This window comes from Homo sapiens, chromosome 5 (genome assembly GCF_000001405.40).
Source record: "Homo sapiens chromosome 5, GRCh38.p14 Primary Assembly".
Classification (NCBI taxonomy): Eukaryota; Metazoa; Chordata; class Mammalia; order Primates; family Hominidae; genus Homo; species Homo sapiens.
Genome location: NC_000005.10, coordinates 116,570,835 through 116,584,493, shown reverse-complemented (window position 1 = coordinate 116,584,493; position 13,659 = coordinate 116,570,835). Strand labels below are relative to the sequence as shown.

Below are 13,659 nucleotides of genomic sequence, written 5' to 3'. Positions count from 1 at the left end.
CCCTATGGATATCTGAGGAAATGGTTTTGCAGGAAGAGGGAGAAACAAGAGTCTGAGGTGGGAATGGGCAGGAGGCAGGGTGGCCAGAGTAGAGTGAGCGAGGGGGAAAAGTGGAGAAGACAAAGCCTGAGAGCTGCAAAAGTGGCCAGGTGGTATGGGTTTTGGCTTTTACACTGATTGTGACCAGAGGATGGACATGATTTTAATGAATGAATTAAAGGATTATTCTGGCTGCTATTTGGGATTAGATTCTAGTGAGGTAAGTTCAGAAGCAGGGAGACCAGTTTTAAAGCTATTGCACAACCCCAGATGAAAATGATGGTGGTGTGGACCAGCGAGATAATGGTGAAACGGAGAAGTGATCAGACTCTGGATATATTTTGAAGGTAGGCTAACAGGATTTGCTGATGAATTGGATGTGACAAATGGGAAAAAAGGAGGAGTCAAGGACAGCTCAAGATTGTGAGGTCTGAGCAGACGGAAGGAGGATGTTGTTACATGATCAGGAGAAGCAATGTTCATAAGTATCACTCCATCTTGAGTCACCTTCATCAACAATGCACTGAAAGGAACATGAGAGTCTAAGGCTAATTCTTGATCCATAGTTAGTGAATTAACACTGTCATACACCATCTTATTAAAGTTTATTTGCTGTGTTTTGTAAGAAAAACTGCTAACTAGATTACAAAAAAAAAAAAACCTAAAAAAGTAATGTATTGACTAAGGAATTAAACAAAAAGAGGAAATTCCCTAAAGCAAGGGAATCTAGCCAAAAAAAAAAGTCAAACATTGGACTGTAATAACTTAAAAATCCAAGTCTGCAATCTTGTTCAGAAAGCAGAGAATAGAAGGGAACAGTAACAGTGAGGAGGAGTAAAGGTTTAGGGACTTTCAAAAGTTTGCTTCAACAGAAGTAAAGGCTTTAAAAGGTGACTGGGAGAAAGGAAATGACTCAATTGCTTTGAGGCATGCAAAGAAAGGGAGAGGAATTATGAGGAAATCAACATGTATGTTTTTATAAGAGTCTTAATAATACAATTAAATTACACAATACAGTAGTTTTTAAGAAAACAGGTGTGTAGGTTTTCAGTTCAAATATTAAAATGTAACATTCTAGTTTATGTTAATAAGTACTTGGTTATGAATAAAGATATATTTAAGAGGTTTCACAAAGAAACTGACATCAGTTGTTCCACTTGTCTTATATTTAGTGAAGTACAAATCAGGCACTGGTAACTAGTGACTGAATAATCTGAAACCTTTGGAAAGTACTGTATTATATATAACTTATTTTGAAATGTATCATTTAAGCTCATTCCAGACAAAAAGTTATATCTGAAAACACTCTTAAATCTAGCTGTTTAGTCAGTATTTTATAGGACAATTAACTAGAGACTTGTCCCAGGCACAAAATCCAAAATTCAAGATCAAGTTAAGATATTGGGAAACCATCCTTGTATTTTATAATTATATATACAGGGGAGTTTTCAGATGATAAATTTATATTCAACAATGTAGTTTTTTATACTTCATTAAGAACGTACTTTAGATCCAAGCATATCACTTTTTTAAGAACATTCATTGTTCCCAATTATCCAGCCTAAGTTTAGATGTTTAAAACAGCTGTCTTCTGTTTTAAAGTTTCAATGTTAAAGCAAACAAAACATCCTTAGTTGTCTTCATTTCTCTGGTTATAAAATTACTCTTAAATACACATTCATTATAATAAACAGCCTGGAAAAATCTTTCAGTTGATATCAGTACAGAGTTTTCTCACATAATCTAAAAACTAGAATTGGAACAAATTGAAGCATAGTTTTATATTTAAGCATGTGCCAGAACAATCTTCTCTTCTAGTAGGGCTTTCACTACCTGGAAGCAAAGGCCTTGAAAGGCAGTTCTCAAAAACAAGTATATTTTAATTTTCATCATTCTTTTGGCCAAATAGCAAATTCCAAAGTGGTACTTAATCAACCAGTTTATCTGGTTATGAAAAGTATAAATTACATTTAGGTAACTGCATTTTTAAACAAACTCACATCCCAGTAGATATCTTTAAGTCTAAATATTAGTAGGTGGGGCAATTAAAAGAAGTTATTTTGCAACAGAAAGAAGAAAACAGGGCCAAACACAGTCTTTACTCTGTGTTACATAACTAGAGATTTCAACTAAATGTAAAGAGCTTTTGTGGAGGAAAAAAATGGACTTCTGGTTTACTTAACATGTATTGTTCATTCATTACCTTATTTCTCATCTAACATTCTCTTAATTTCCCAAACAATAATTTGATATCAGAAGTGAATGGAGACAAACTCCACTGTGGTACAGTGGAATGATTGTTATACACAGGGTGGGGTCCCACCATGAAGCTATTCATGGAGGGGCAGACAGTAAATCACTGTTAGCAAACTCTAGCTTGCTGGGAGAGCTGGTCCTTGGAGATGCTCTGACATTGTTCCCAGTGAATTCAAATTGCAGTTTATCTCCTTCCACAAGCCTTCTAGAGTTCTATTTATATTCTTATTGCATCTTATTTTTAAGCATCTTGTTTTTGAAATTGTTATATTTACTCGTCACTTTCATCCATAAATCTTTTTCTCCCCATTCAAAAAGCAAATTAGACACGTTATAGTCGAAATTCTGTGTTGGGAGAAAGCCTAGATTTTGTTTATCCTTAGAACTGGAATCTCAAAATCTGAAGAGCATGATATATGTCTAGAGTTTTTTTTTTCCCCTTTTCCTTTTTAAATGGTCCTATTCCATCCAAGGATCTATTCCTTATCCTACTGAATCCTTGAAAAGGAACTAATTGCTTTCACTAACTCATGCCCTCACTTATGTACCCTTACTCTCAGTTAAGTGCTGGAGATACAAGATAAATGACAGAGATATAGTCCGAAGACTTGAGAAACTTGTGATCTAACAGGAAAGAGAAGCATTCAACAAATAATTGCACCAAATATTAATACTAGCTGTAATGTCTGATATGCACTATGAGGTAAATTCACAGGGTACTTTGAGAATACATAATGGAGAATATGATCTATTCTAGACTATCAGGGAAGTCTTGTTGGAGGCAGGGACATTGAAGGATGAGTAGAGGTTAGTCTGGTAAACAGGGAGAGGGGAAGTTCCAGTATTCCAGGCAGGAGCACAAGGGCAGGCCTGTAGTTACAAACAAGAAACATGGAGCTTTCCAGGAACTGAAACACCAGTGATGCTGCAAGAAAGGGAGACAGTGATGGGAGCACGGCAGAAATGAGACCAGAGAGGTAGGCAAGAAACTAATCATGCACAATGTTAAGGCTGTATTAGGGTTTAGGGGTGTCTATGGATGCCTCTGAGGTGTTTTAAGAGAGGCTTGATGTGATCAGATGTGCATCTCTCAAAGATCACTTAGACTACAATCTGGAGAATGAATAAGAGGACAAGAGAGAATAGAATTTAATGTTAATTTGGGAGAAAAAGCAACCAAAAATATTACTATATATTGGTTACAGATACATATGGTATATGTGAAAGTACAGAAACAAAATGTAAGGATGCACAGAAAACTCATAATATCATTACTTATAAAAAAAGAAAATGAGAGTAAGAAAGAGATGTTGATGATGAGGAAGTTAAGTTTTATCCACCATGTTTTATTTCTTAAAATACAGACAGTAAACAAAAATGACAAAATATTAACAGTCATTAATTCTGAGTAATGAAAATTGGGATGTTGGTTATATTATTCTTTGACAATGTTTCAATTTCCTCAAAAGAAAAACTAAGTTAAAAAAAAAGTGAGAGGAGTACCAAGAGAGAGTAGTGTGTCATCAAAGCCAAGAGCAGAGAGTATGTCACAAGAAACAATTGTTGCTGATAATTCAAATAAAATGAAAACGTTAAAATACCCACTGTATTTACTGTCATGAATGTCACTGAAGACTAGCAAAAGGGGATTGAGTAGATGAAAGAGGACGAAGTGGCAGCACTGGTTATCAACAATCTCTGGGGCTGTCTGGCTTTGGAAGAGAGGAGAGAAGAGAGTAGCTTGAAAGAAATGGGATCCAAGGTGGGCTGTTTCTTTATCTTTTTCTTTTTCTTTCTGAGACGGAGTCTCGCTCCGTCGCCCAGGCTGGAGTGCAGTGGTGCAATCTCGGCTCACTGCAACCTCCACCTCCCAAGTTCACGCCATTCTCCTGCCTCAGCCTCCTGAGTAGCTGGGACTATAGGCGCCTGCCACCATGCCCGGCTAATTTTTTTGTATTTTTAGTAGAGATGGGATTTCACCGTGTTAGCCAGGATGGTCTTGATTTCCTGACCTCGTGATCCGTCTGCCTCGGCCTCCCAAAGTGCTGGGTTTACAGGCGTGAGCCACCACACCCGGCGACCAAGGCGGACTGTTTCTAAGATGGGAAAGACCGAAGCTTGCTTACATGCTGATGGGCAGATGCAGGAGAGGGTCTGGAGACAATAGGACAGAATTTCTGAGAACCTGTGAATTATTGGGAACATAAGGAGGGACTGGCCTCCTACTGGAGGAGGGACACTGCCTCCTTCATAAGAAGAGACACTTAGAAAATAATGAGTACAGGCCGGGCACAGTGGCTAACGCCTGTAAGCCCAGCATTTTGGGAGGTCAAGACGAGTGGATCACCTGCAGTCAGGAGTTCGAGACCAGCCTGGCCAAAGTGGTGAAACCCCGTCTCTACTAAAAATACAAAAATTAGCCGGGCATGGTGGCAGGTGCCTGCAATCCCAGCTACTTGGGAGGCTGAGGCAGGAGAATCGCTTGAACCAGGAGGCAGAGGTTGCAGTGAGCCAAGATTGTGCCATTGCACTCCAGCCTGGGCAACAAGAGTTAAACTCCATCTAGAAAGAAAAGAAAAGAGAAGAGAAGGAAAAGAAAAGAAAAGAAAAGAAAGAAAGGAAAAGAAAAAGAAAGGAAAGAAAAGAAAGTAAAGAGAGAAAGAAAGAAAGAAAGAAAGAAAAAATAATGAGTACAGAAGCAAAAATGTTCCCTTCTGATGGACTGCGTTTTTTTCAGGGAAGTACGAGGTATGAAGTGTGAGATATCTGATTACGGGGAGAAAGTTAGAAACGAACTGAGATAAGGCGGTGCTTTGGATGAGATTGAGGTTGATAACAATCTATCTACATTTTTTTTTCCAGCAGGCTTCAGCTGCCCAGTTCAGAAGCAGAGACGGCTGATGTTTACATACTTCAGAACTAGCTTTTAGTCAGATAGATGTTGACCAAAGATAGAGGAGCAACAGAATTGAAAGTATTTGCAAGAGAGAGGGACTGATACTATGAAGCTATGCTAGACATAGAGAGGAATGAAATAAGGAGGGAATAGGTGATCGAGAGAGAAGCAAAACTCAAAATCTGGAGGTCCTCAAGAAATCAGTGAATGCAGGGGGGTGCATGAGCAAGGAAGATTGAAGGAGAAGAAGTGATTGGAAAGCAGGATGTCAGAATTAGTGATTTGGAAGATGGGGCATTTTTGATAATAAGGCCCAGAATGAAGCCTGGAGTAGGTGGAGGAGGGGAGTAGAAAGACAGCATAGATGAGGAAGGCAAGAAATGGAAAAGCCAGAGGGTCAGTGGTTATATGGATGTTAACACTACCATGAGTCATGACAGGTGGAGGGACACATAGGAGGACAATAAGTCTTTGAAGAATCGGATAAAATGAGACCACAAATGTATTTGTAGAGTTTAGCTACCAAAGTCAGCCAGAGGTTTTTAGAGGAGGAGAAATGGCCTGAAAGCAGCATGAGGAGCAAGGATACGGACCTTTCTTTGTGAAGAGGAATAAACGGACAAGAAGAAGAAACAGCCCCCACAAGAAAAAGGCTAGGGAAAAGTAATTGGTCTAGAATACAGCCAGGATTTATTGTGGCAGTGGTTCTCATCCCTGGCTGCAAATGAGAATCATCTATGGAGTTTTAAAACCTACCCATGCCGAGGTCCCAGTCCTTACTGATGAATGAGAATCTTGAGCTTGGGGATTTGCATCACTGAAGAGCTCCCCTGGTCATCTAATGTGCAAGTGGATTTTAAAACCACTGACTTAAGGCAAAGAGGTGGAGGGAACTTTGGAGAAGGGGCTGAGGGTACAGATAGATTTCTTGATTATAAATTATAATGGCCTGAATGTACAAACTGTGCTCCCCAAGTGTGCCCCCATGAACCCTCAAGGAACTGTGAGTAGCAGCAGCCCCTTCTTCTCCCAAGTTCATTACTCCTTTTTGTCTCAAAGCAGAGATTCTGATCAAACAGCTAGATGTGGTCTTTGCAGAGAACCTGAGTTTATCTTTCTGCTTTATTTTAATCTTCCGCCACACTTTTCCAGGTGATCTGAGGAAAGCGGGAACTGTCATGTAGTTAACAAGGGCAGGGGGTGGCTGGGCGCGGTGGCTCACGCCTGTAATCCCAGCACTTTGGGAGGCTGAGGCGGGCGGATCACGAGGTCAGGACATCGAGACCATCCTGGCTAACACGGTGAAACCCCATCTCTACTAAAAATACAAAAAAATTAGCCAGGCGTGGTGGCAGGCACCTGTGGTCCCAGCTACTCGGGAGGCTGAGGAGAGAGAATGGCGTGAACCCGGGAAGCGGAGCTTGCAGTGAGCTGAGATTGCGCCACTGCACTCCAGCCTGGGCAACAGAGCAAGACTCCGTCTCAAAAATTGAAAAAAAAAAAAAGAAGAAGAAGGGGAGGGGGAGTTGTTACAGGTAGCTCCCAGCCCTGACCCAATCGCTGACACAGGTCAAGCCACTTCTGTCCGCTGTGCTTCCATGTGACTCCTGTAAAATGTGATGGTAGGACTGATGTGGAGGATGGCAAGGATGACAATGTGACACTTAATCTTTATAAAGCAGTGTCAGCCTTAGACTCCGAATTTACGAAGATCATCTAATGTAATCCACGAGCTCCTCGGGAAGTGAGTAGAATAAGAATCCCCATTTACAGGTGAATCCACTGGGACTTCACAGAGATAAGTGACTTGCCCAAGATCACCAGCTAAGTTACATTAACCGCAGATGGCCTCCAGAGACCAGGGCCTCAAACACTCCATTTTACGTCACTTTAAAAAAAACCACTGAAGTCACCTTCTCATCACTCTGTGATTCTTTAACTCTTTGGCTTTCTTTTCCTGAAGGGACAGGGTATAAATTGCAGACTTCAAAGGCTTTGAAGGGGCAGTGGTTTTACTGAAAACTTACTGCAGGCTTCTGGAAGTGAGTCTGAGGCGCACTTATGGGGAAATGACATCATGAGGTTTCATAGCCTGGCTTCCCCACAGGTGCTCCCCTGGGGGTTTCGGGAGCCTGACAATAGCTGGCTTTTCTTCCAGCTCCGGGAGCATCTTTTCTGGCAGGTGGAAATGTAATATCACGTGGTCAGAAGGAAGGGCTCCTACTTGGATGGTGAGACTAGGATCTAGTAATTGCCAGGAAGATTCTGGGTGGTATTTCTTCACTGTGAAAAGTAGACTCCAATTCTTTAACTCTCGTATTCTATAATTTTAAATTAGGTAAATTTAATCGCTCGCTTCTTGGCTCAGCGTTACTACAAATTAAACATGCAAGTATTAATATTGAATATAATGTCCCTTTAAACAATATCCTGAAACTCGTTGTGGGGCATTTCCAATATATCCATAAAGCAAATAAAACAACTTAATTGTTTGTTTCTCTAAGGGAAGGAGCTAAACCCGAAATTAATTTAGTTCGGCCTGTGAAACAATTCGTTTGCTCTGCCTAATTCTGCCAATTTAAGAACTTTTCCCAGACACAATTAGCATGTAAATCGGCGGCGGGGAGCGAAGAAGGAGCCTCGGCGACCCCGGTTGGGTGGAGCGCGGGACAAAAAACCCCGGAGGCCGAAGGGTCCGGAGCTTCGAAGGGGCTGCAGTACCGCGCCTGGGGCGCACGGACGAGCCAGGGGACCAGCTCACACTGACCCTGCAGTCATCAGCCAAAATCTGGGTGTTAAATAGCGCAGCCGGGGATCCAGCCGTCTTGGCCGCCAGATCCTTCTCCTAACCCCGCGGGATTCTGAGGAGACGTCCTGGAGCCGGCCCCCACCCAACCCGCGGGAAAGCGCAATCCTACCCACCGCCCCACACTCCCCAACCCCCTCCCGAGGCTGGCTCTTGAAGCCGCGGGGGCTGCGCGCGCACCTAGGGCCGCGCCCCCCACTACCCCAGGTCTATAGAGGCCTTTGCCCGAGAAAGGTGGGGATAGCGGCCCCTGCTGACAGCTCTGGAGAACAGCAGGGGTACTGATTTTTTCTTTTTTTCCTACCATTCTCCCTACCTTTTCCAGGTGGTGGTAGTGGTGCGGGGGGAATGGGTGTTGACCCATGTGCATTTATTCTTCGTGAAGCCTCTTAAGCAGATGTCTGTACTTAGAGAAGCGACCAAAGAGGGAACGTGGACTTATTAGTGGTCTTAGTCCCAATTAGGGAACAGGTACAGTTTCCAATATAAAGAAACTCGGCCTAAGTGGGACTGAGACCCCGATCTCCGCACTTGCTTTTCTCAGCCAACTCCATGACTAGTAAATATCTCTCCGAGAACTGCTGGGCCGCCCGATGTTACTTTGTTTAAAGGTTGCGACTAGGATCCGTACCATCTGCGAAGCCCCCTTGGGGAGCAAGAGCCGCGGCGCGCAGTTGATTTCGGGGCGCAGCGGCAGGGGGAGGGGAACGTGGTGTGGCCCGACGAGTTGGCACAAGCCTGTAACTGCAAGACTTTGTAGCTATTGAAAGTTCAAGTGGTGAAAGAAGGCTGTGCCTGCCATTCTTCATGTGATCATAACAATAGCGCCTTGGAAGTGGTTGCGATTTTCTTCTTCCATAAACCTTTTGGGTTCTCACTGGAATTGTATGCGTGTTATTTCTGAAGTTTACTTATTTCTAAGACCAGTCCACAAAATGTGAACTTCATTAAGTTTTAAAATAGATCGCCGTCGTTAAAAACGCCATTCTCTGCACTGTAGTTTATTTGCTTACTTCACATGCTTTATTAACGTGTGTATGTGCGTAATTAATAGCTGTGTTCTTATCTTCCAAGTGTATTTTTAACCGCACCGGCTTCTATCCAATTCATCTAACTACGTAGAGCGTCCATCGCTTCTGGAATCTACCTCTTGATAACAGTAATCAGAATCAGAAAAGCTCGCCGTTCACTTACCCTCATCCTTTAAAACTTTTCCATTTAAGAAAATCGATGAACAAAACCTTTCTTGTAACTCGCTCCTGCACTACGTCTATTTTTATTTATTTTTCTGATTTGGCAGGACTCAGCAATGCTGTCCGGGATTTTTTTTTTCTTTTTTTTTTTCCTAGCTAGAGCAGATGTGGGGGTGGGGGAGGTGAGGGCTGGGCTCCAGCCAGAGTCGCCCCCGCTGAGCCTCCGCCTAGCGCGCGGTGGGGCCAGGAATCCTGGTGGAAGGAAGCGGCGCTGGCCAGTTGGTCCAAGGCTCCACCTGCAGCCACACCGCGTAGTTTCTCCGCCTCTGCCTCGCTCACTCGCACTCACATACACCACAGCTCTCCTTTGGGTCGGAGGAGACGCCAGCCAAAGTAGGCGGAGTTGCGGAAGGAGAGTCCGATCTGCGCAATCCAGTCCGGGACTTGGCTCCGCCCGGGAGCGGCGGCCTCTCCGGTGACAGAGGAGTAGTGAGCGGCACGGGGTGAGGCTGCAGCCAACTCCGCTCCCCGCGCACTCGGCTGCCCAGGCGCTCGGAACCCAGCAGCGGCGCTCCTCCGCGGTGCCGGTCGCCCGCGATGCCCGCTTAGCAGCGTGTAGCAGCGGCCAGCATCACCACACCCGCGGCACCGCGCTGCCGGCCGCAGAGCCGGGCCAGAGCCTTGCACCCCTGCCCCAGCCCCCACCCCGCCCCCCGCCCTGAAATGACTTGTTAATCGGCGCAGACACCACCAAGGGGACTCACCGAAGTGGAATCCAAGTGGAATTTGGATTTGGAGAAGAGTTTCTTGAACATTTACCCTCTTCCTTGTTGGTTTTCTTTTTCTTTTTCTTCTTTTTTTTTTTGGCTTCTTTTTTCCTCTCCCCTTCTCCGCTCGTCATTGGAGATGAACACATCGCGTTTGCATCCCAGAAAGTAGTCGCCGCGACTATTTCCCCCAAAGAGACAAGCACACATGTAGGAATGACAAAGGCTTGCGAAGGAGAGAGCGCAGCCCGCGGCCCGGAGAGATCCCCTCGATAATGGATTACTAAATGGGATACACGCTGTACCAGTTCGCTCCGAGCCCCGGCCGCCTGTCCGTCGATGCACCGAAAAGGTACGCCCCGGGCGCCCGGGCGCGCCCCACCTCCCGGGCAGCTGGACTCCAGCCTGAGGGTCCCGGGGCCGTGGCTAGCGCGTGCTGTCGGCTTTGTGGTGCCTGCGTTTTATTTTGTCTTGTGTCTCTGTTTCCCGAGCCTTGCCCGGTCCTGGGGGAGCAGCCGTGAGCCCTGCCTGCCTTTCCTCTCTGCCCTGCGCCCCAGAGTGCGTCCGGCTCCACGTCGAGAGCTTTCCCACCCGCGTTGCGCACACGCCCGGCGCCGCCCCGGGCCGCGACGGCGCGTATGGCTGTTCCTCCTGGGGGTGTGTGTGCGAGACCCAAGGCTCATCCTCCCGCGTGCCCAGCAGGGAGCAGAGCGGGCCCTAAATGGTGGGATTCTCGGAAGCTCCCTGGCCCGGTGTGTCGAAGGCAGGGGAAGGGGTTCTGCCCTCGAGGGCTGGAGGGGGTTGGGTATAACAGCGCTGTTTTCGTCCAGTGCCAGGTGGGAGAAGGGGTTCCGCGGAGACGGTGTGGAAGCGGAGAGAATCTTTTGTTGTCAGTGTGGGGTCTGGGCTGGGCTCCGTGGAGTGCAAGAAACTTGTAATGGCTCTAGGCACCCGCGCGCCCTGTCTCTCGGTGAGATCCTGGCTCCTGTGGCCGCTGCCACCAGAGGTTCCGGGCTTTGTTTGCTCGAATAAGTGTCCGGGAGCAGCCGTTCGGGTGACGCGGCGCCCCCGCCATGGGTCCTGTCCCCCGCCGCAGCTCCCAACCCGAGCGGCAAGGATATAGCCCGTCGCGGCTGCGTCCCTCCTGAAGCACCGAGCCCTTTGCACCGGGCTGGCGCACGGTACGCCCTCCTCCCAGATCAGCGCGGTCTCGCTCTGGAAAGATGACCCAGGAGGGGGAAGGGTGAGAGACCTGGCAGAAGATGGCCCTGGGTTTGAAACCCAGACTAGGGCTCTGTTCCGACTCCTCACTGTGTCCTAGGGCGCTACCATGGGGGCAATGGGGCGCTGGAGAGTAAGCCGGGCAGTGCCCACCCACCCTGCCTGATCCTTCTGGGGCGGGAAGTGTCTCTTGTCCCGATTCTCCGCGTTTTGCTCAGCTCCTCGCTGTGGGAGATGGTGCAAAACAGGATCCTGAGGTCTCCTCCCTCCTCGCAAGACCCGAGCGGCACGGGGGGAGCCAGGGAGCGGTCCCGGGCTTGTGGACGTCGGGAAAGGAAACAGAATTCCGCTGTTTTTCCCGCTCCCTCGCCGCCCCTCCGCCCAGCGCCTCCTCCCACTTTACAGCGGCGGGGTCACTAGACCAGGCGCTCCTGGAAAGTTTCCCTGAAAGCCAGGGGCGGCAGGCACGACCGGACTGGGGCTCAGCATGTGCAGTCTGAGGGAAGCCGGACCTGGAGGGAATCATGCGGACAGCTCGGGATGCAGCTAGGAGCTAGATCCCGGCCCTTTGGAGAGTGGAACCTCCTGGCCCGCGGTACTTGCTCGACAAGTCGGGGAAGGGATGAATGGGGAAGCAGGACCCCGGAGGCAGGTGCGGCCACTGTGGACAGAGGCTGTGGGGAAGGTGCGTGTGGACACAGGCCGGGGCTCAGTGGCTTGCAAGTAGGCAGCTTCAGGTGCAGAATCCCGAGCCATCTGCTCCCTGCGCACGATTTCCCAGCGTGGCTATCCAGGGAGGGAGGAAGCAGAGCCAGGTGTGCGTGGAGCGGGAGAGGAATGGGAGACTGGAGGCGCTGTCTTCACAGCCGGGGCAAGCACTTCCAGGGAGTCTCCGGCCTGTATCGCACTGGGGAGCCCTGCAGGCTTTTTCGCGTCGGTCTTTGGGAGAAAGGTGGCTGCTTTGGAACTGCGGTGGCCAGGCACAGCCACAGTGGGATCGCTCCTTTTTTTACGCTCAGCTTTTTTACGCTACTGAATGCGATCTGTGAAAGGTTTAAAACACAGGCGTGCATGGACACACACACGCACACACTCGCCCTTGTACGCACAACTTTCTTTACCTCAGATCTGAAAAGCCGTTTAACCCACTTGCAGTGTTGTGCCAGCAGGTCTCAGAAAAGCTATTTAATGCCCCCCAGCGCTGGTTTTTAAGTCTTGCCAGGATGGGAAGGTCGAGTGCCTTTGCCTTGTCTTTCTTTAGTCCTGAAATTGTTCGTCGTCCTTCCCCTGGTGGACACATCTTGGGCATCAAGTCTGTGGTATGCTACAGTGATGGCGGGGAGGACTGGTGGTTTAATTAATTATTTAATTATGTTTTCTCCCCAAAGTAAAGATGCCTATGTTTAATTCTGACTAAAAATACTCTACACTTTTTTATACCGTACCCAAATGGCTACCAGCGGTCAAGATTGCAAGAATTTTGTATGACTTTTTAATGCTGTGTTTAGTCTACATGGAGCAGTTTTATGATTTACAGTAAGCTTTGATTAAACTACTCCAGGCACCAAAGTTAATTATTAACCTAACCTTAAATACAGTGGCAGAACTATGTCTCCACCTATTAACCTAAACTATCTATTAAAAAATAATTGCACTAGCTATTTGAATTTGGTTTACCCATGCTTGTTTGTATGGTAACTTTTATTTGAATCTTGAGTAACCCTTACTCCCTGTTATTATTTTGGTTTTGGGACGTTCTTGAATGAGGCACTTTGCAAACCAGTTTAAAGCAGAAAAGAACGAACATCAAATTTAAAATCTTACTTTTGGTTATGAGTCATTTTTCAACTTGATGTAAAGAAGCATTCTACTTTATGTTTCTGATGTACAGTGTTTGTGGGTGACAACCTTCCCCATATGTTAGGTTTTGCAGCTATCACCTTTTAGAGATGTGCTACATTTTCAATAACGCATATAATCCACATATGTAAATGTTAAGCAGATACCGAAAATCATTTCTGAGGAGCCATCAGCTGAATATACTTATTGGACATAACAACTAAGCTTAAATAGGTAAAAATTTTATAAGAACCAGTATAGAACACTCAAGTAAATGTCGAATGAATGAAATAAATAGTCACACATGGTTCATGTTTGTCCACTTAAAGTGGACTTCTTTATTTTCCCTACAGTGAAAAAAAAAATATATGCCTTCAAGTGAGTGGTTATGATAAGGCGGCAATAAGTGCACCTTTTTATTTACACACAACACACACCCCTCAAGTTCTTCCAAAATCTAGTAAATGCTTTTTCCAACATTAAACACATATAGCAGTTGTATTTTGAGTAGGCGGGTAACATTGCACTAGTGAAGTCTAATGTGTTGAATCAGAAGTGTAGCAAGAATTAGGAAGACTGTTATCTTCACCAAATAAAAATGAGGCATCCAAATTAAGAACTTGTATTAAATTCAAAATAAGT

The 13,659-nt window shown here is 46.1% G+C and overlaps 1 protein-coding gene and 1 long non-coding RNA gene across 7 annotated transcripts in view, besides 4 other annotated features; one reads left to right on the top strand and one right to left on the bottom strand.

Moving 5' to 3' along the window:
• The window catches only part of SEMA6A-AS2 (SEMA6A antisense RNA 2), a 36,783-nt gene extending 26,707 nt beyond the window's left edge, over nt 1-10,076 (bottom strand). The window contains exon 1 of the long non-coding RNA NR_147170.1: nt 9,955-10,076. This is a non-coding gene — a long non-coding RNA (SEMA6A antisense RNA 2). The remainder of the gene's footprint in view (nt 1-9,954) is intronic.
• Nucleotides 5,706-6,339: an enhancer, noted in NCBI's record as "NANOG-H3K4me1 hESC enhancer chr5:115913851-115914484 (GRCh37/hg19 assembly coordinates)". NCBI's record gives its function as "activates a minimal SCP1, AML or CMV promoter by ChIP-STARR-seq in primed H9 embryonic stem cells {active_cell/tissue: H9 hESC(primed)}" and the evidence as "EXISTENCE:reporter gene assay evidence [ECO:0000049][PMID:30033119]".
• Nucleotides 6,340-6,975: an enhancer, noted in NCBI's record as "H3K4me1 hESC enhancer chr5:115913215-115913850 (GRCh37/hg19 assembly coordinates)". NCBI's record gives its function as "activates a minimal SCP1, AML or CMV promoter by ChIP-STARR-seq in primed H9 embryonic stem cells {active_cell/tissue: H9 hESC(primed)}" and the evidence as "EXISTENCE:reporter gene assay evidence [ECO:0000049][PMID:30033119]".
• SEMA6A (semaphorin 6A) overlaps nt 9,671-13,659 on the top strand; it is a 131,269-nt gene continuing 127,280 nt past the window's right edge. For 4 of the 6 annotated variants that reach the window (XM_005272042.5, NM_020796.5, XM_006714663.3 and 1 more), the window contains exon 1: nt 9,671-10,309. The gene's annotated coding sequence lies outside the window, so the exon portion shown is untranslated. Of the gene's footprint in view, nt 10,310-11,153; nt 11,774-13,659 lie in introns of those variants that run through there. The other 2 variants (XM_047417451.1, XM_024446138.2) reach the window with 2 other exon arrangements.
• Nucleotides 9,836-9,915: a silencer, noted in NCBI's record as "silent region_16259". NCBI's record gives its function as "represses an Ori minimal core promoter by ATAC-STARR-seq in GM12878 lymphoblastoid cells {active_cell/tissue: GM12878}" and the evidence as "EXISTENCE:reporter gene assay evidence [ECO:0000049][PMID:35858748]".
• Nucleotides 11,613-12,394: an enhancer, noted in NCBI's record as "H3K27ac hESC enhancer chr5:115907796-115908577 (GRCh37/hg19 assembly coordinates)". NCBI's record gives its function as "activates a minimal SCP1, AML or CMV promoter by ChIP-STARR-seq in naive H9 embryonic stem cells {active_cell/tissue: H9 hESC(naive)}" and the evidence as "EXISTENCE:reporter gene assay evidence [ECO:0000049][PMID:30033119]".